The 21,193-nt window shown below is 45.0% G+C and overlaps 1 long non-coding RNA gene across 1 annotated transcript; it reads left to right on the forward strand.

The window, feature by feature from the left end:
- The first annotated feature begins 46 nt into the window (after positions 1 to 46).
- Positions 47 to 21,117, forward strand: LOC101929488 (uncharacterized). Its single transcript, NR_125818.1, has 9 exons — positions 47 to 275; positions 1,224 to 1,400; positions 2,954 to 3,323; positions 3,482 to 3,668; positions 4,629 to 4,846; positions 8,720 to 8,837; positions 9,531 to 9,668; positions 13,706 to 13,784; positions 20,802 to 21,117. It is a non-coding gene; the product is annotated as an uncharacterized LOC101929488 (long non-coding RNA).
- The last annotated feature ends 76 nt before the right edge of the window (positions 21,118 to 21,193 follow it).

Genomic DNA, 21,193 nt, shown 5'->3' on the forward strand with positions numbered 1-21,193 from the left:
AGGGACTGTGCTGGCTGATGGGAACCCTGCATCTGAGAGCGCGTGCGCTGGGCGGGAGGCAGAGCCAAAACCGTAACAGCCAGAGCTAGAGACTCCGGCCTGGGGTTCTGGCTCTGTCCCGTATCAGCTAGGAAACCCAGGGCAAGCTACTTAAACTCTCAGAGGCTCAGCTTTTTCATGAGCAAACAGGAAAACAGGGCTAATGATTAGTCCTTGGCTTAAAATACATACCGCGTGTGAAATTGCAGGTATATAATAGATTCACTAAATGAGAGGTAATTATACTTATTAATGTCATAACAACTGGTCAAAGAAGAGAGCACTGGGAATTGGGAGGTGGGGCGTGATCAGAAAAGGCTTCAAAAATCAGGAGACATTTCGCCTGGGTTTTGAAGGAGGAGTAGGAGTTTTCCAATCAAAGGGGGAAGGGCATTCCGGATGGGTGAACTGTGTGTACAAAGGCATGGGAGCAAGAGGTGCTATGGTGCATGTGGGAAATTGTGAAGTGTTTGGTCTAAGCCTGAGGCGGGGGAAGTGAATCAGCTGGAGCTGAAACAGGACAGGTGAGCTGGGATCACTCTGGGAGTAGGTTGCAGGAATCTGTATTTGATAAGGAGATTCCCAAAAGATTATGAGGCTGACTTCCCAAAGGCCTAAAGTCTAGAAACTATCACTGTACCTGACATCCTGCACAATTCTCTCTAATCCGCACCACCACCTGGCAAGACAGAGGCTATTGTCTTTAATTTACCCAGCAGACAGCAGAGACTCAGAGAGGTGAAGTGACTTGTCCAGGATCATACAGCGAATGTGAACCAAGATCCAATGCCTGGTCAGCTTGACATCAAACCCCATCCATACAATAAGGGCTCAGTAAAAGCCAGCCATGACTCTATGTACTGGTGCTCTTTAGGGCTGGGCAGCCAGGTGTGCTGATATCCTGTTTCCCTGACATCCATGCTGTTAGAATTTCAGGGAAGATGGGGCAGGGTCAGGGAAGCACACCCTGTGGGCCAGATTCTGAAGACAGGTACACACAGATTAGAGAGCTTTTCCTGGTTAGAATTGCTCATTGCAGGAAGAAAGTCCTGATCTTCTCAGGCATTTACAAGAGATAGTTTTGTGGGTGTGTGTATAATTTTCTTTAAATTTAAAACGATCTCAAACTTACAGAAAAGCTTCAATTGCAGCACAAATAATGTATGTTTTCTGAACCATCTGAGGGCGAGTTATCAACACTTACTCTCCAATGCGTCATCACCCCCAACACTCCTGTGTATTTCCTGCAAATAAGGATCTTCTCCTACATGGTCAGTCCGAACAACCTTCAGTCACAACTGAGAAGGTCACATGGTGCATCACTGCCGCTCAGTCTCCCCAAGCCCAGTGATTTCTTCACAGTAAGTGCATCCAGTTCAAGTTGGCATGCAGCATTTTGTTGTCACATCTCTTAGTCTCCAGTCTGAGGCTGTGCTCAGTCTTTACTTGAGTCTCATAACCTTGACACTTTCAAAGATGAAGGACTGGTTATCTTGTGGACTGTCCCTTCACTTGAGTGTGTGCTGATCCCTTGGGATTTGATGGCAGGAACATGGCAGAAGCGTTATTCCACTGCACTTGATTTCAGTTTGCCCTGTGTAAGCATTCTTTTTTTTTCTTTCTGTTTTTTCTTTTTTTTTTTTTTTGAGACAGAATCTCGCTCTGTCACCTAAGCTAGAATGTAGTGGCACAATCATGGCTCACTGCGGCCTTAACCTCCTGGGCTCAAGTGATCCTCCTGCCACAGCCTCCTGAGGAGCTGGGACCACAGATGCACCACTATCACACCCAGCTATTTTTTTTAGAGGTGGGGTCTTGCTGTGATGCCAAGGCTCATCTTGAATGCTAATGTTCACTTTGATTATTCGTTTAAAGTGGTGTCTTCCAGAGTTCTCTGTAAAGTTACTCTTTTCCTCTTGTAATAAATAAATATTTTGTGAGGTGGTATATTGAGACTGAATATTCCATTTCTCATCAGACATTCAGTTTATTCATTTTTTTCACTGTAGACTTGTGGTTTCTTATTTAAGTCAATAGGTTCTAATCCATTACTCTCATGATTTATTTGATGCTCAAATTGTCTCAGATTTGGCAAACAGGGAGTCCCTTGAAGCTGGCTTCTATGTCCTTCTGACATGCTCCCTTGTTCTTTAAGTGTTCACTTGCTTTCTGGTTCAGCAAGGTATCTTGATATCCTGGGTTCAGGCCAGGTATGGTAGCTCATGGCTATAATCCCAACACTCTGGGAGGCTGAGATGTGAGGCCAAGATTTCAAGACCAGCCTGGGCAACATAACAAGACCTTGTCTTTACAACAACAACAACAACAACAAAAATGGGCAGACATGGGGGCATGCACCTGCAGTCCTGGCTACTCAGGATGCTGAGGTGGGAGAATCACTTGAGCCCAATAATTCAGGCTGCAGTGAGCTATGATTGCACCACTGCACTCCAGCTTTGGTAACAGAGCAGGACCCTGTCTCAAATAAACAAAAACAAAAACAAAACAAACAAACAAAAAACCCTGAGTTCAACTTGTGCTTTCACTATCGCATCCCTGGAGTCAGCCATTTCTTCAAGGAGCCCCAGTTTCTTTCATGGAGAATAGAATATGTGAGTGTGAGCTGTGCTCATTGCTACTGGGGGAGGTGCTGTTTCCAGACCCCCTCAGTGAAATGTATGTCTGTGTAAGTATAGATAAACACACATTTATGTGTATGTATATGTAGACATAATATTTACAGGTATATTTCTATATGTAGCTATACATTCATATATTTAGATCAAACATTTACTTATTTGATCAAGCCCCCTTTATGTTACCAATCTGTCTGCTAGATGACTTTCGCACTTTCAGAGTACTATGGATGTCAAAGCTTTTCAAAACCACCCAGTCTAACCTCTTTATTTTACAGATTAGGGATCTGAGACCCGCAGTATGGCAGTGACAAGATCCAAGTCTTGGGACACCTAGCCAGGAGGGAAGAATTTGAGGGAGAGGTGGAAAATATGCGAGGCTGAACTGACCTTCAAGGACAAGAAGGCTGTGTTCAGATAGACAGAGTTTGTCTTCTGGGAGAGGAGTGGGCTTATCCAGGATGATCCCAAAGGCAGATTGAGGACCAGTGGGAGGACATCCTGAGAAAGCAGATCCAGCTTTAGGCAAGGAAGGACTTCGTAACAGGCAGAGAGCCCATGTTGGAAACAAGCAGCTCTGCAAGGTGTGGGCCCACTGTCTGACTCCCTGCGGGGCTGCTGCCTTGGAAGAGCCTCCTGCTTAGAGAGGTTGGTGGAACCAGGGTGCTCCAGCTCCTTTCCAGCTCTGACCCCCAAGATCAGCCCACCCCTGCCCCAGCCGATCACCCTGAGGATCTGGAGGGTCCTTGGTCTTTACACAGCCTGGTTCTCTGGCTTGATTATTTGAAAACTCTCTTCAACTCCAGGTTCTCCTGCCGCCAGCTGTCTCTCCTGAGTCCTGAGCACCACATCTCTGGACCGTCTGGAGCCTCCCCTCCCTTGGCTTACTGCTCCCACCACCCTCTCTCTCCACCTTGCAAGAGACACTCTCCCTCATCCTGGGTCATCACCCTCTTTAGAGGCGCCGCCTGGCCACGAGGTTGGATATGGGGGGTGAGCATGGGATTGGGGCCAGCCTCCCATGAAAACTGCAGAAGTACAAAGCCAGACGCCCTTCCTGAGGTCACTCAGACTTGTACGCCTTTGGGGTTGAGCCTTCCCCGCTGTAGGGTTGAGGACTCCTTGACTTATTAAGGGTCCTAGTTCTTTGGAGTCCATCTACGGAGTTGTAAATGAACTGCTGGGGATGTCTGAGAACCCTGTGACCCTGGGGACTTCATTCAGCGTCCCATCCCTGATATGGGTCAGATTCATCTTGACCTCTGAGTGCTCCTGGCTAGGCTCTGCCAGGTGGCCAGGAAGTGGTGCTGCTGGGTCAGAACTTGCATGCTTACATGTAAATGAAGCTCAGAAAGGCCTTGCGTGTAGGGCAAAAGGGAGGGCTGGGGACTGAGAACTAGAGGCTGTGTGGTCCACTAGAAACATTCTGCCTGTGCATTATAAGCACAAACAGGCATACATACCAGCAAATGTGTGTGTGCACACACACATATCCATACCAGTACACACACATACACCATACATACTAGTAAATGGATATATGTACACACATAACACACATATATCTCTCTCTATATACGTGCATACATACCTGTATATGTATACACACATACATGCATGATAGTATACACACATATACTAGTATATATACACATACATACAAACCAGTATATATGTCTAAAATAGATATAATACATATACATACACATACAGAGCAGTATATTGTACACGCTATATGTTAAGTGTGAACATATGTATGCACACAGCCTACGTGCACATCTGTGTGTATGCACAAATGCATGAGTTGGCACATACCTGTGTGCAAATATATGCACACTGCAGTAACTTGGCCCTGGAGTTTGCACCACTGACTTCTGCCTCTGAGGCTCAGGAAGCCATCATGCAGGCTGATCCAGATCTCCCTTCTCCTTGCAAATATTTTTTGGATCACAGGTGGGCAGGATCTTGGCCTTACTTGATGCAGTGCACACCTCCAACAGGCATCAGATGGAGTGCAGCCGGGAGCAAGATTCTCATAGCAATTACAAAGATTCACAAGAAAATGTGCCCTCCACTACACAGCTGTAATTTACATGCTTTCAAACTTGATATGGAATGACTGTGGTTTCCCCTGAAAGAAGCATCACTGATCTCTGCACAGGAGAAACAAGGTGGGCACTGAGGGAAGGGCTTTGAAACTGAGACGGGAGCCTGGCTCCCGCCCCAGCCTGGCTAGAGATCTTGAATGTGGGTTTCTGAACACAGCATGGGGCTGTGACTGGGCGTCCCTAAGAAGAGTGGTCAGCATGCCGTGCCCCATCACCAGGGGGTTAGATGTTGTGGGTCCAGCTGAGGCAGAGAGGAGCTGGGAATATAAGACAGGCCAGCTCCTGGCCTGGCAGCTGAGGCCTGCAGGCTGCCTGGCCATGAGTTTGGGGGACCATGTCAGGCCGGTAGGCCACCTTTCCTTACAGAGACACCCTGTGACAGTGGCCACTGCAACAGACCCTCAGATGAGGTGCTGTGACTAGGACTTGACCTTTTGGACTTGGAAAGCATCCATTGGGCTGGGGGGCTCTTGGAGTTATTTAGAAGGAGGACCCCGAGATTCCCTTGAAAGAGATGATGTAATCCCAAATGCTAGAGAATGTGACCTCATTTTATGCTCCAAGTAGCTGACATTGGAATTGGGTTATAAATGCATTTTTGCCTTTCCTGAACAAAGCAGTTTTTGCTTCCCAGGGGTGTGTGTGTGTGTGTGTGTGTGTGTGTGTGTGTGTGTGTGTGTGTGTGTGTGTGTGAAGGCCCACTGGCCCAGATGAGTGTTACATGGCCACATCTTTAAAGCATATTCCAGCAGGGTAAGCTTGTTCCCCAAGGCCATGTGGGGTTGTGCAGTGACTGACTGGTCCTATACAGCCTGGAGAGCGCTGAAGGAGAAATAGCTGTTGGGGGGTCTTATTTCAGGTCTGCTTTCTTCAGGCCATGCCTTGTTTCTGTTGGGTTAGGGGAAGTTGCTGGGCAAATGTGAGCAGGTGGCGCACCTGCCAAACACTGACATGACCACACGTAAGTGTCATGGCTTCCCTAGGCACGCGGAGGCCCTGAGCACACCCAGCCTGAGGGCCCAGGTGCATCCTGAGAGTTGAGGACAGATGTGGCAGGGGTAGGGTGTCAGGCCTGTTTTAATCAGAGAAGCAACTGCCTGCCACAGTCGATGTTAAGCTCCTGAAACATCATGCAAGCTACTTGCTCGGCCTTCTGACTCAGGATTGAAATAAATGCTGCAATCCTGCTACAAAGAAGTTCATGTTCTGACTGTGCTGGAACATTCCTCATCCTTGCTGGCTGTGATTGTTAAAGATGCAGTGCAGATGGAGGCTTGTCCTTTCCATTTAAAGGAGAAATAGGTGTCAGGATTGGAGGTGAGCCCATCTGAGGCAGGTGCCTTTATGTCGCCCAGGTGTCCTGCACCCCTCCTCTTGTAGACTATGCCTCTGGACGTGTGGCCTTGAGCGTGACCCCTGGAGTTTACCCCAGTGTTTGGCTAGGGGATCCCAAGACGTACAGTGTCAAAGGACAGATGGCAGGTCAGCCAGGGCCTGGGATGTGGAAGCGCCCACCTCCATTTTCAGGCTCTGTGTCTTTGGGCAAGTCATCAACTTATCTGATCCCCATTCTCCATCCCTGTCAAATATGGATTCATGATCCCTGCACTTTGCCCCTGTGAGCCTGTTGTGAGGTGCCCTGTGTGTGTGTGGAAGGGCTTCGTACACATCATGTTGTATACCTGGTATGGGCCATCGGGCTCAGCACTGAGTATACAGCCCGGAGAGTGAGGCAGCTGCAAGGAGCTGCTGCCACGTGGCCTTGCAGAACCCTTTCTGGTGCCACCACTGACGTCCACATCAGGGAATGAGTCAAGGCTCTGAGTCCCTGTCTGCAATGCCACCTCCTTGAAAGTTCCCCTACTCCAACCATGTTCAGAGTCCTCAAGGGATGTGATATATTCAGCTCTGCTTTATGGCTTGATTTAAAACATGAGTTTTCTCCAATACAATTGCTAGATTAGGGAACAATTGAACATGACATGAGTTTCAAAGTTCACATTTGCTCTGCATGATTTTGTCCTCAGAAATACCAGGTTAATACAGAGAAAAGCGCCTGGCCGACCTGAGCCTAGGAATACACAAACACAAGTGCACACCCTAGGGGTACACAACCCCAACAGTGCACACACCCTAGGGATACACAACCACACCAGTGCATACAGCCCAGTGATACACAACCCCACTTCTGCACACACCCTAGGGTTACACACCACACCTGTACACAAAACCTAGGGATACACAACCACACCAGTGGACAAACCCTAGGGATACACAATCACACCAGTGCACAAACCCTAGGGATACACAACTACACCAGTGCACGAACCCTAAGGATACACAACCCCACTTCTGCACACATCCTAAAAATACACAACTCCACTGTGCAAACGCCCTAGGGATACACAAACCCACTTGTGCGCACACCCAAGGGATACACAACCACATCCGTGCACATACCCTATGAATACATACTGCACCCATGCAAATCCTAGCATCTTCTGTCCCTCCATTCACAGGGTGTGTTAGGAGTTACATCCACTAACCTCTGGGGCTAGAATGTTCCTCCTAATCCCGGATTACCAGCTTACAACCCCAATGCCCACTTTCTCAAACAAGCCTCGTCTTTTTAAAGGTAAATACCATATTTATTTTAGTATTTACGTATTTCTTAAACATTTAACCTGTAAACCTGTGCTATCATTTTTATTAGGTTCTAATCTTTTTTTAAAAATGTGTTGCTGATGAAGCCCCTAACTCTATTTTTCTCATAGCCCTGCGGGTCATATCACATGATTTTGCAGAGCCTAATAATTTTTAGGGATGCCTGTGTCACAGCATCGCAGAAATATTTGAATTCATGGTCTGGCCATGGGTCTGTGCTGTGGCCTGAGCTGTGGGTGGGGATGCCCAGGTGTCAGGAGCATGCCTTAGGTAGCACTAGCTGTGCAAACCTTTATGCACATCCTGTTGCTTCCTGATGATTTCTCTGGAGAAGCAATGGCAGTTCACTTGCACCAAGTGCAGATGCTCTTCTGATTTAGGCTGGCTCATTCACTGAATCTTCACAACAACCCTAGAAGGTTGGTACTAATAATATCTTTATTTTACAGATGAGAAAACCAAGTCACAAACAAGTTATGCTCGGGGTCACATAACCAGGCATCAGAGGGTCCAGGCTTTCAGCTTCCCTCCCTGACTGTGCTGCCTCCCTCTGTACCTGGATGAGTAGGCTTTTTGTGCAAAGGACCAAATAGTATTTTTAGCTTTATGGGCCATGTGGTCTCTATTGCAGATGTCCTTATAGCACAAAACAGCTATAGGCCCTCCACAAATGCATGGGCCAGGCTGTGTGAGAACACAGTTTTATTTATGGACACCAAACTTTGAATACCTTATCATTTTTTATGCATCACGGAATGCTACTCTTTTGGGTTTTTTTTAAACAATTAAAAGATCGTAAAAATCATTCCTGCTTATGTACCATACAAAAATAGGTGGTAGGCTGGATTTGGTCTGTGGGTCATAGTTTTCCCACACAGATCCTTGCTTTAGAGTGAGAGAATTGGTCAAAAGGTCCCAGCATTTCAATGGCTCTTGGAGTGTTCTGGAAATAAAACCACCAGGCTTGTACTCATTTATATTGTTAACAGGATTTTAGTGCTCTAGTTTCACCGCAATTTTATGCTAATTTTTTTAATGCTTGTTAATGTATCAGATATGACATATAGCCTTTCCCTCTTTGTTTTATTGGACTGACGTATGTGCAGAGTTATAAAGTCAAATAGTTAACTACACTTCTAACAAAAACAGCCATCTCTGCCTTATACCTTTGCACCTGATTCCCACTCTTCAGAGGTAAGCATTTTAACCTCTTTTACAGTGCTGGTATTCCCCTCTCTGCCTGTATTTCTTTTTTTCCTTCTTTTGAGACAGGATCTTGCTCTGTCACCTAGGCTGGAGTGCAATGGCACACTCACGGCTCACTGCAGCGTCAAACTCCCAGGCTCAAGTGTTCCTCCTACCTCAGCCTCCTGAGTAGCTAGGACCACAGGTGTGTGCCACCATGCCCCGCTAACTAAAAAAAAATTAGATATGAGGTCTCACTATATTGCCCAGGCTGGTCTAGAACTTATGTTTATTTTATTGTGGTACAATATATACAGCAAATTATACCATATTAATCATTTTAGATGTGCAATTCAGTGGCATTAATTATATTCACAATGTACAACCATCACACATCTACTTCCAAAACTTTTCTGTCATTTCATACAGAAACTCTGTACCCATTAAGCAATAACTCCCGTCTCCCTCACTTCCCCAACTCTGGTAACTTATGGCCTGCTTCTCATCTCGTGAACCCTGCCTATTCTAGGTACCTCATGGAGGTGGAATCCTGTAGTATTTGCCCTTTTGTCCCTGTCTTATTTGACTTATTATCATGTTTTGCAAGTTCATCTATGTTGTTGCATGTGTCAGAATTTTGTTCCTTTTTGTAGCTGAGTGCTATTCCATTGTATGGATGTGCCACACTTCATGTATCCATTCATCGGTTGATAGGCCAGCCCGGTGTCAATGGGGGAGGCAACTCCATGGGAGTATGAACTCACTAGGATGTGGGGCTCACTGGCAGCTATCCTGGGGGATGGCTGCCAAGTGGATAATGTGTTCAAAGCCAGGCTCTAATAGAATTCAACCTTCACAAGGTCAAGTTCCCAGTCTGTATTTTTACGCCACTTCCCAGCACAGGCCCAGACACAAAGCAGATGTGCAGTGGAGTGTGAAAGAGGCAGCCAACTCACTGGGGAGCTTCAGAGGGAGATGGCCCAAATTGCTGGGGCCTAAGAATCTCCCGGAATGAAGGAACAGTAGAAAGAACTGGGTAAGTTTGACTTGAGTGGCAGTTTGACTGTTGGGACAAGGTGGCTATGTGACCAAAGTCAGAATAGCATAAATGTGTAGATGGAAGGGAACCCAGAGACCACTCAGACCAACCTTGTTATGTTTCAGGTAAAGGGGGTCACCCATTTCCTGGGGTGGCTGTAACAGACTGCCACTCACTGGGTGGCTTAAAACACTTGAAATGTGTTCTCTCACATCTCTGCAGGCCAGAAGCCTGAGATCACGGTAATGGCAGAGATCACGGTAATGGCAGAGTAGGTTTCTTCCACAGGCCATGAGGGATAATCTAGTCCAGGCCTCTCTCCTGGCTTCTGGTGGTCTGCTGGCCATCTTCAATGTTCCTGGGCCTCTAGAAACATCACTCTAGTCTCTGCCTCCATTGCCACGTGGTGTGTCTCTCTCTCTTTACTTTTTATTTATTTATTTATTTATTTTTTAAGATAGGGCCTCACTCTGTTGCCTGGGCTAGAGTGCAATGGCATGATCATAGCTCACTGCAGCCTCGACCTCCCACACTCAAGTGATCCTTTCATCTCGATTCCCAAGTAGTTGGGACTACAGGCATGCGCCACCACACCCAGATAATTTTTGTACTTTTTATAGAGATGGGGTTTTGCCATGTTACCCAGATGGGTCTCAAACTCCGGGACTCAAGCAATCCTCCCACCTCAGCCTCCCAAAGTGCTGAGGTTATAGGCATGAGCCACTGCACTCAGCCTCTTTGTCTAATCTCATAAGGACACCAGAAATATTAGATTAAGGTCCCACACAGCTCCAGTATGACCTCATCTTGATTTAACTAATTACATCTGCAACAACCCCATACTTTCAAAATAAGCTCGCATTCTGAGGTACTGGGGGTAGGATTTCAAGATATGTTTTTGGGGAAACACAGTTCAAGCCATAAGAGAGAGAGAATATGCTCTGTTTAAATCTCACAGCTAATTCATTGGATCTTTGGAAGACCCAAGGCTCATTTCTGTCTGCCTCTATTTCTAATTAATGTCAAGTTGTCTTTCTTACTCGTGAAATTCTAGGAGCATCTGGCTTGTCTGCCATTCTTGTGTCCCTGTTATTCAGAAAAATAAGGTTTACATGACAGATGGAAAGAAAGATCAGGCCGGGCGTGGTGGCCCATGTCTGTAATCCCAGCATTTTGAGAGACTGAGGCGGGCAGATCATAAGATCAGGAGTTTGAGACCAGTCTGGCCAACACGGTGAAACCCCATGTCTACTGGAAACATAAAAATTAGCCGGGCATCGTGGCGCATGCCTGTAATCCCAGATACTCAGGAGGCTGAGGCAGGAGAATAGCTTGAACCCAGGAACTGGAGGTTGCAGTGAACCGAGATCGTGCCACGGCACACCAGCCTGGGCGACGGGGCGAGACTCCATCTCAAAAAAAAAAAAAAAAAAGAAAGATCAGCCGGTTGTCACTGTAGTGTGTTGTTTTCTGCAAGACAGTCACAGTTATTACAAACCGGGAGAAAACAGTTGCATAAGAAAAATGCAGCTCTGACACCCCGGCCAAAGAGCCCTCCAGCTTTAAGTAGACATTTCCACTTCTCCGTGCCCAGGGGAGCATTAATGGACCTGTGTATCACTGCAGCTGAACCTTAGCAAGGAAGACTGGGTTTCTCAGGCAGGGAAGGTGGCTGCAGTGTAAGCCAAGAGATTGCAAATCTGCAAAATCGGAAATGCTGAAGGCTGCTGGATCAGCCAGCCGGGAGAGATACATGTCCACCTGGCACGTGGCTGGATGTGGGGTCAGGGCAAGCTCACAGCCTTGCCAGGAGAGTTTGCTTTTGTTGGAGCCAGAGAGCAGAATTGCTCAGATGCATCTTCTTTGCGCTAGGCATTTGTGTGACAGGGATAAGGGGCAGGCTGACTCCAGGGATGTGTGACTTGTGCAGTCACAGCCACACAGGTCCCCATACATGGAAGGGCCCTGAGCTTGCTTTGATGCTCTGCTGTCACAATCTTCATGATATTTGAACAAAGGGCCTGCATTTTTATTTTGTACTTGGCCCTGCAAATTACATAGTAGGTCCCGACAAAGCATCTGTCTCAGTTTGTTGTCCTCATCACTTGATTATTTGTGAGGTGATTTGTGCCTCAGACAGCCTTAATCCTGATGTCTTAGAGAATCCATAGCCAGATAAAAAAGACATGAGGCTGGAGGTCATGACCCCTTAGGCTTGAATTTCAATGTTGCCAGTGACTATAATAGCTACAAGATCTTGGGCAGGGCATTTAGCCTCTCTGGGCCTCAGGTTCTTTATCTGCAAAATGGACATGCTAATAACTGTCCTGCCTACCTCAAAGAATTGCTATAAGAGTTACTCCTTTAGAACAAGGACTGAACTTCTTTCTTTTGTACCTGTGTGAAATTCAGGCCAGCACCAATGCAAGAATAAACTAATACTTGTTGATTATTAATAGTGCATACTTGTTGATTATTTGCAACATGAAATAATGGGGGAAACCTCTTAGGCAAAGCCTCAGAAATGATAGACTGGCACTAGGTTTTCCATAACACACTGATATCTTGTGCAGATTTGCCATCTGGACTCTGCTGCTCTGAGGTTTTCTACAAGAAGGAGGCAGAGCCTGCTCACTTTGGGACGTGCCCTTGAATATGTCCCTTTGTGGATGTGTGGAACGCTGAGATGAACGTTCTACACAGGCACTCGCCCCTTGTCAGCCAAGTTTTAACTATCCAGCTCTTCTCTTTGGGTGATGTCATGTTTATCATAGCAACAACTAACTCTTTGGTGTGAGCCATGTAGAAGAGTTCGTTTAATTCTCACCACAGCCCTATTATTACCCCCTCAATTTTACAGATGCGAGTTTGTCTTAGGTGACCTGCCCCCATCTCACAGCTGAGAGGTGGCAGAGTCAGGCTGGAACTCAGGTCCTTCTGGCACCACAGTGTCAGTCCTGTCACCTGTGCTGGACATGCCTTATGTGCAGTGTGATCCCTGAGGTGGGCTCTCTGTGGGTTTTGGCCACTCAGCAAGATTGCTTAAGATGGCCAGTTTTGTGTTTTAGCTTCCCACAAGTCTCAAGGCTTCCTAAAGTGAGCTGTGCTAGAGAGACTGCAGGTAGCTGTGCAATATCCTTAGAGAGTCTAGGAAGCTTCATCATTTGCTTATTTATTTGGGAAACAGCTTGATTGAGATATAATTCACAAACAATACAATTAACTAATTTAAAGTGTACAGTTTAATGCTTTTTACTATATTTGGACTTGTGCAACTATTACCACAATTTTATTTTTTTAATTTAATTTAATTTTATTTTATTTATTTTGAGACAGAGTCTCACTCTGTCACCCAGGCTGGAGTGCAGTGGTGTGATCTCGGCTCACTGCAACCTCCACTTCCTGGGTTCAAACGATTCTCGTGCCTCAGTCTCCTGAGTACCTGGAATTACAGGCGCATGCCACCAAACCTGGCGAATTTTTGTATTTTTAGTAGAGGTGGGTTTTTGCCATGTTGGTTGGGCTGCTCTCGAACTCCTGACCTCAAGTAATCCACCCATCTCAGCCTTCTAAAGTGCTGGGATTACAAGTGTGAGCCACTGCGCCCTGCCCACAATTCATTTTGGAACATTTTCATCAGCCCAAAAGAAACCTCATACCCTCTAGTAATCCCCCGCCATTCTCGTCATTGTGCAGTCATCAATCTACTTTTTATCTGTAGGGATTTGCCAATTCAGGATCCTTCATATAAATGAGTCATAAAATATGGGGCCTTTTGTATCTGGTTTCTTTTAGTTAGCATAAAGTTTTAAGGTTTATCTGTGTCGCAGCATGTATCAGCACTTATTTTTTAAGGCTGAATTATATTCCATTGCATGGATAGGTCACGTTTTGTTGAGCCATTCACCAGTCAATGGACATGAGTTGTTTCCACCTTGGTGCTATCATGAATCATGCTGCTATGAACATTCGTGTGCAGGTTTTTGTGTGGACATGTGTTTTCAATTATTTATTTTTATATCATTGTTTTCTAGAAGCCAAATATGGTGATAGAGACTCTCATCAAGGACACTGAGTAAACCAGAAACCTGCTTGGGCTCACGTTCCTTGTCTGTAAGTTGGGTCTGGGAAGAGCAGCACAGAGTGTGTGAGTGTGTGTACATGCGCTTGTGTGTGTGCAGGTGTGTTTGTGTGTGTGCATGTATGTGAGTGCACGTGTGTGTGTGTGTGTGCAGAGGACAGGTGTATGTCTTTCTGTATGCCTGGCTAGGTGAGGGCGGAGAGAGGGTGCTAGTCAGGAGAACAGCTGTAGAGGCACTCATGACAGAAGGTAACTCTTGGAGGAAAGAGTGATGAATTGTTGACCCCCCCTCCTCCTCTCCTGCTCCTTTTTGCTGAGCTAGCAAAAGATACAGGAGAGGAGAATTTAAAGCAATTTAAGCTCAGGCCTCAGCTTGGCCCTGTGACTTGGTAAGTGAATGTGGAATCACCCATCAGTGGGTCAGCCAACATGGACAGACTTCCTATTGCCCCATGGCCCTATTCCAGTAGTAGCCTGCAATGCCCCCTGAATCTGTAGAGTGTAATGCTGCTGCCTTACACCTCATGTGGAGATCCAGGACAATGTAACCGTTCCATCTTTCACTGTCCATCATGTTTCAGGATTACAGACATCTCCGGCTCTTGTGGGAGTGATCTTAATTTGGCCAAAATCATTTGGATTCTTCAAATGCAGTTTGGCAGAGTGGAAAGGGGAAAGCTATAAGTTGGGATAGACATGATTCAAGCCCTGGACTAATTACTTATTAGGTGCATGACCTTCAGCAGGCCCCTTACCCTCTGTGTTAGTCCATTCTCACACTGCTATGAAGAAATATCTTAGACTGGGTGATTTATAAAGAAAAGAGCTTTAATTGGGTATTAGATATGCAGGCTGTACAGGAGGCATGGCAGTGTCAGCTTCAGGGGAGGCCTCAGGAAGCTTACAGTCATGATGGCGGCAAAGAAGGAGCCAGCAGTTCACATGTCCAGAGCAGGAGGAGGAGAGAGAGGAGGGAGGTGCTGCACACTTTTAAACAACCAGATCTCAGGATAAATCACTCACCATCATGAGAACAGTACTAAGGGGAGGGTACTAAACCACTCATGAAGGATCCATCCCCATGATCCAATCACCTCCCACCAGGCTTGATATGGTTTGGATTTGTATCTCTCTCCAAATCTCATTTTGAATTGAAATCCCCAGTGTTGGAGGAGGGGGCGTGGTGGGAGGTCATTGATTCATGGGGGTGGATTTCCCTCTTGCTGTTCTCATGATAGTGAATGAGTTATCATACGATCTGGTTGTTTAAAAGTGTGTGGCACCTCCCCCTTCCCTCTCTTTCTTCTCTGGCCACCTAAGATGTGCCTGCTTCCCCTTCATCTTTTGCCATAATTGAAGTTTTTCCAAGGCCTCCCCAGCCATGCTTTCTGCACAGCCTGTGGAACTGTGAGTCAATTAGACCTCTTTTCTTTATAAATTGCCCAATCTCAGGTAGTTTTTTATAACAATATGAGAATAAACTAATACAGAAAATTGGTACCTAGGAATGGGGCATTGCTATAAAGATAGCTGAAAATGTGGAAGCAACTTTGGAACTGTGTAATGGGCAGAAGTTGGAACAGTTTGGAGGCCTCAGAAGAAGACAGGAAGATGAGAGAAAATTTGGAACTTCCTAGAAACTTGTTAAATTGTCATGACCAAAGTGCCGACAATAATATGCACAATGATGCCCAGGCTGAGGAGGTCTCAGATGAAGATGAGGAACTTATTGGGAAGTGGAGCCAAGGTCACTTTTGTTATGCATGAGTAAAGAGATAATCTGAAACTGGAACATATATTTAAAAGGAAAGCAGAGTGTGAATGTTGGAAAAATTTGCAGCCTGACCATGTGGTAGAAAAGAAAAACCCATTTTCTCCGGAGTAATTCAAGCTGGCTGCAGAAATTTACATGAGTAAAGAGGAGCCAAATGTTGATAGCCAAGTTAATGGGGAAAATGCCCCAAAGGCATTTCATACAACTTTGAGGCAGCCCTTCCCATTGTAGACCTGGAGGCCTAGGAAAGTGAAATGGTTTTGGGGGCCAAGCCCCGGGTCCCACTGCTCTGTGCAGCTTTGGGACTTGGTGCCCTGCATCATGGGCACTCCAGCTCCAGCCGTGGCTAAAAAGCTCAGCCTGTCACTTCAGAGGGTGCAAGCCATAAGCCTTGGCAGCTTTCATGTGGTGTTAAGCTTGTGGGTGTTCTAAGTGTAAGAGTTGAAGCTTGGGAGCCTCTGCCCAGATTTCAGAGGGTGTATGAAAACACCTGTGTATCCAGAAAGAACTCTGCTACGAGGGGCAGAACCCTCGTGGAGAACCTCTACTAGGGCAACGGGGAGGGTGAATGTGGGGTTGCAGTCCACACAAAGAAACCCCACTGGGGCACTGCCTAGTAAAACTGTGAGAAGAGGGCCACCATCCTCCAGACCCCAGAATTGTAGATCCATCAGCAGCTTGCACCATGCACCTGGAAAAGATGCAGGCACTAAACACCAGGACTTGAGAGCAGCTGCAAGGGCTGTACCCTACAGAGCCACAGGACCAGAGCTGCTCAAGACCTTCGGAGCCCACCCCTTGCATCAGTGTGGCCTGGATGTGAGATATAGAGTCAAAGGAAATTATTTTGGAGCTTTAAGGTGTAATAACTGCCCTGCTGGGTTTTGAACTTGCATGGAGCCTGTAGCCCCTTTATTTTGGCCAATTTCTCCCTTTTGGAATGAGAGTATTTAGCCAATGCTTGTACCCCCATTGTAACTTGGAAGTAACTAACTGGTTTTGAGTTTACAGGCTCATAGGCAGAAAGAACTTTCCTTGCCTCAGATGAAACTTTGAATTTGGACTTTTGAGTTAATGCTGGGATGAGTTAAGACTTTGGGGGACTGTTGGGAAGGCATGATTATATTTTGAAATGTGAGAAGGACATGAGATTTGGGAGGGGCCAGAGGTGGAATGATATGGTTTGGATTTGAGTCCCTGCCCAAATCTCATGTCAAATTGTAAACCCGTGTGTCAGTGGAGGGACCTGGTGGGAGGTGATTGGATCATGGGGGCAGATTTCCCCCTTGCTGTTTTCCTGATAGTGAGGGAGTTATCATGAGATCTGGTTGTTTTAAAGTGTGTAGCACCTCCCCCTGCTCCCTCTTCCTCCTTCTCTGGCTATGTAAGACGTGCCTGCTTCCTCTGCCCCTGTAAGTTTTCTGAGGCCTCCCCAGCCATGCTTCATGTACAGCCTATGGAACAGTGAGTCAATTAAACTTTTTTTCTTTATAAATTACCCAGTCTCAGGCTGTTCTTTATAGCAATATGAGAACGGGTTAATACAAGGCCCCACCTCCAACAATGGCAATTACAATTCGACATGAGATTTGAGTGGGGACAGAAATCCAAACTATATCACTCTCTTTAAGCCTATTTGTTTTTGTCAAATAAGGATAATGATTCTTACTTGGTGGGGTTGTTGAGTGCACCAGAGGACAAGCACTAAGTGGCTGTAGGGTTGACAGTCAATGAATGGTCACTGGTTATGTAGAAGATTGCTGAGTGACCTGCTTAAGACACACCTGACTCTCTTCAGTCAGTCTCACCTGACCCGTAGATAGAAGGCAGGAAATAAGGAGGCTTATTCTGCTGTTTGATGGATGCATCTCTTCCATAAATGACCCTTCTGCTACATCTCCATAAACTCGTGGGTCTCCAGGGGACTCTGAATTTTAACCTGATGAGTTTTAGTAAGTTTTATTGTATGTCTGAGCCACAGTCACTTCTTTACAAATATTTATCCACAACATACTAATCTATTTTCTAGGCCTGCCTCTCTGATTGGTGTAGAGAAGGGAAAGTATTTGATAGTTGTATGTGAGGCAACCACTCTTCATAGACATATCTGAGATTGGCTCAAGGGTCTACAGAGGTGAATTTTATTTTTGATCTTGCTGCTGCTATTTCACTGCGTAAACTTAGGAAAGTCACACAACCTTTGATTCATAGTTTCCTTTCATTGGTAAAATAAGGGAGTTAAATTAAGTGATTTTAAGACCCCTCACCAGACCTAACACTCTAGAAGAATACACTATGACATGCAGGGGCAAGGTGTCCTCTTGCTACAAATACATACATCTGTTTTCCTCCCACAGAGGGTGGGGATACACATGGCTTTCTCTACACATAGTATGAGATGTCATGGTCAACACCAGGAGAGGCGAGAGGCATTTTATGCAGAACTGGGCTAAGTGTGGAACAAGGTCACAGGGTTGGGAAACCTTTTTTCCTTCATATTGGCAGAGTATAAGTGGCTATATCACTTCCTTTGTTTTTAATTTTTATTAAGGAAATTTTAAACATATACAAATGTGGAGAGAACAGTACAATGAATGTCAAATACTCACTACCAAACTTGAACAGTTATTAACATTTTTCCAACTTGTCTCTTGTCCATCTTGTCTTCCATTTCTCCTCCTCCTCCAACACACTTTATTTTTATTCCATTTTATTTCCTTTTATTTTATTGTATGGCAAATTTCAGGCACTTTATCAGTCCACCTATAATTCAGGATTTATCTCCAATAAAAGTACATTACATAATATATGTCTGTTATATAATATATACTTTATACAACAAAATAAGCCCAGTATATATACATTATATAATGTTACATATATTACATAACTCTAAGGTCATTATTACACCTAACAAATTTAACAGTGTCATTTATATGCAGTCCATATTCCGACTTCATTGGGGGCATTTTTAAAACTGTCCAAATTGTAAAGAATTGGTTGGCCTATCAAATCATTCGTTCATTCATTCATTCATTCATCTATTCAACTGACACTATGACATCCTTAATGTGGCCAGGTCTCATAGGAGCTACTGTTGCATAGGGCAGACAAACAAGTTCACAAATGAAAAATAGTGAGATAAATGCAGAGTAGTTTGGTACAAAGTGTGACTATGTCACAAAGAAGGTCACAATCAATTCTGCAGGAGGTGGGAGGGTAATAGAGGAGTTCATGCAGGATAAGGATCTTGGGTTGAATTTTGAAGGCTGACTAGGTGTTGGCAGCAGGCTATAGAGGAAGGATGCACCACAGAGAAAGTGTGAGAAACATGCCAGGACTTCGTACCAGGAAATATCATCAGGAAATATCTCCTTAACTAATAGGAGTGCCAGGTGCTCTTCTGGGTCAGTGAACAAAATAGACAAAAATCCCTAACCTGGTTGAGCTTATGTTCTTTGGGGGAGGACTAGCAATAATAAATGAATACATACAGCATGTCAAAAATAAGGGCTACACAAAAGAAAAACACAACAAAAAAAAGGGAACGTGATTAAGAGTGCTAGGGCTGTGGTGGTTCACAAGTTAACATAGGATGGTTGTCATGGTAAGGTGGTAGGAAATGGCCAAATGCTCACAGTTCCCCTTTTTTCTTCTTTTGCATACAAGAAGATCATGTTGCTCAGCCTTTTCTGCAGTTAGACTTGGACAATCTGACTGGGTTCTGGTCCATAGAAAATAGTTGGAAGTGATGCATGCCACTTCCAGGCCTGGTCATCATGCCCTGAGTGGCCATCCATGTTCTTTCTCCTTCTTCCACCATGACCTTGGCAGTCATGTGCTGGAAGTGAGATGAAAGAGCCCATATCTTTGAGTCACCAATTAAAAACTGCATTAAAAAACTCTGAGTGTAAAACTAATATACATACTGAAGTTGCTGTCTACTCTCCTACCAATACCTTGTCCACTCTATGACCCACTTTCTACCTTTTCTTCTACTATGTGTGTGTGTTTAAGGAGTTAGTGTGTTTAATATATAAAGAACTCATAAAAATCAACTAGAAAAATATTAACTCTGTAAGAAAAAATGAGCAAAGGACTTACAAAGTAAAGCTACTTACAGAAATAAATAAATAAATAAAAACTCTATGTTCTACAGTTTCAAGTGAATAGAATCATAGAAGCCAAAAATAAGCATATAGAAAAATTAAGACTTTATTATGAATAACATGCTACTCCTAAATACCCTTTATTTTGCAATCTGGCTATGTCCTCTTTTTTTTTTTTTGAGACAGAGTCTCGCTCTGTCCCCCAGGCTGGAGTGCAGTGGCGCAATCTCGGCTCACTGCAAGCTCCGCCTCCCGGGTTCACACCATTCTCCTGCCTCAGCCTCCCGAGTAGCTGGGACTACAGGCGCCCGCCACGACTCAGGGCTAATTTTTTGTATTTTTAGTAGAGACGGGGTTTCACCGTGTTAGCCAGGATGGTCTCGATCTCCTGAACTCGTAATCCACCAGCCTCGGCCTCCCAAAGTGCCGGGATTACAGGCGTGAGCCACCGCACCTGGCTCAATCTGGCTCTGTCTTTAAAATTAATATGTGCAGTGTTGCTGAGGACATCGTGAAATGGTTTTTACACACTGCTGACAAAAGCATACATTGATACAACCTTTCTGGAAGACAATTTAGCAATATTTTCTATTATTTCAGAGCCTTAAAAATGTTTCTCCCAGGTGCAGTGGCTCATGCCTGTAATCCTAGTGCTTTAGGAGGCCACAGTGGGAGGATCATTTGAACGCGGGAATTTGAGATCAGTTTGGACAACATGATGACCCCCGTCTCTTCAAAGAAAAAAAAATTAGCCAGGCATGGCAGCCTGCACCTGTAGTCCCAACTACTCAGGAGGCTGAGATAGGAGGATCACTTGAGCCCAGGAATTTGAGGTTGCAGTGAGCTATGCTTATGCCACTGCACTCCAGACTGGGCAACAGAGCAAGGCCTTATCTCAACAAACAAACAAACAACAACAAAACCTGTTTCTGCCTTTGATCTCATGGATAACACTTTCAGGAATTCAAATCAGCAGTGGTGGATTCAACAACCTATGCATATAACAAAAGATTTTCAAAACTTCCTTAAGAACTGGAAATACCTTTATACTTTTTGCTGAGATAAACGAAATTCATTTTTCCAGTGGGCATGTGTTATTTTATAATAAATAACTCATTAAAAGTATTTAAAAGACTCTTCCTTTTTTTTTTCTATGTGTTGCATAGCTTCTTCTCAGATCCAGGAAAGGAGCTGTCCAGGACAATGAGGATAGGCTGAGGAAAGACAGGCCACGGCCTTGCCTCTGTGCCAGCTCTCATGGGCCAGGCAGAGTATCCCAGGACAACTGCCTCCACAACCAGCTCCATCCTTCATCAGCAATTCAGTACCTGATTAACAAATCTGTACCCCAGGAGGTTATGCCAAGTCCAACTTCTTCCAGAGACCACAACAATAAATCCAAGCCACTGCTAATGTCATTTATAAGCTGTGGGATTAAAACAGAGAAGCAATCAATTAATTAAAATTAGCTCTTTATTGAAACTATAAGCATCTTGCTTCCTAAGATTCTAGACCAAATAAGTGACCGCCAATTCTACTCTTATAGAATGAAAGAGTT

This window comes from Homo sapiens, chromosome 8 (genome assembly GCF_000001405.40).
Source record: "Homo sapiens chromosome 8, GRCh38.p14 Primary Assembly".
Lineage (NCBI taxonomy): Eukaryota > Metazoa > Chordata > Mammalia > Primates > Hominidae > Homo > Homo sapiens.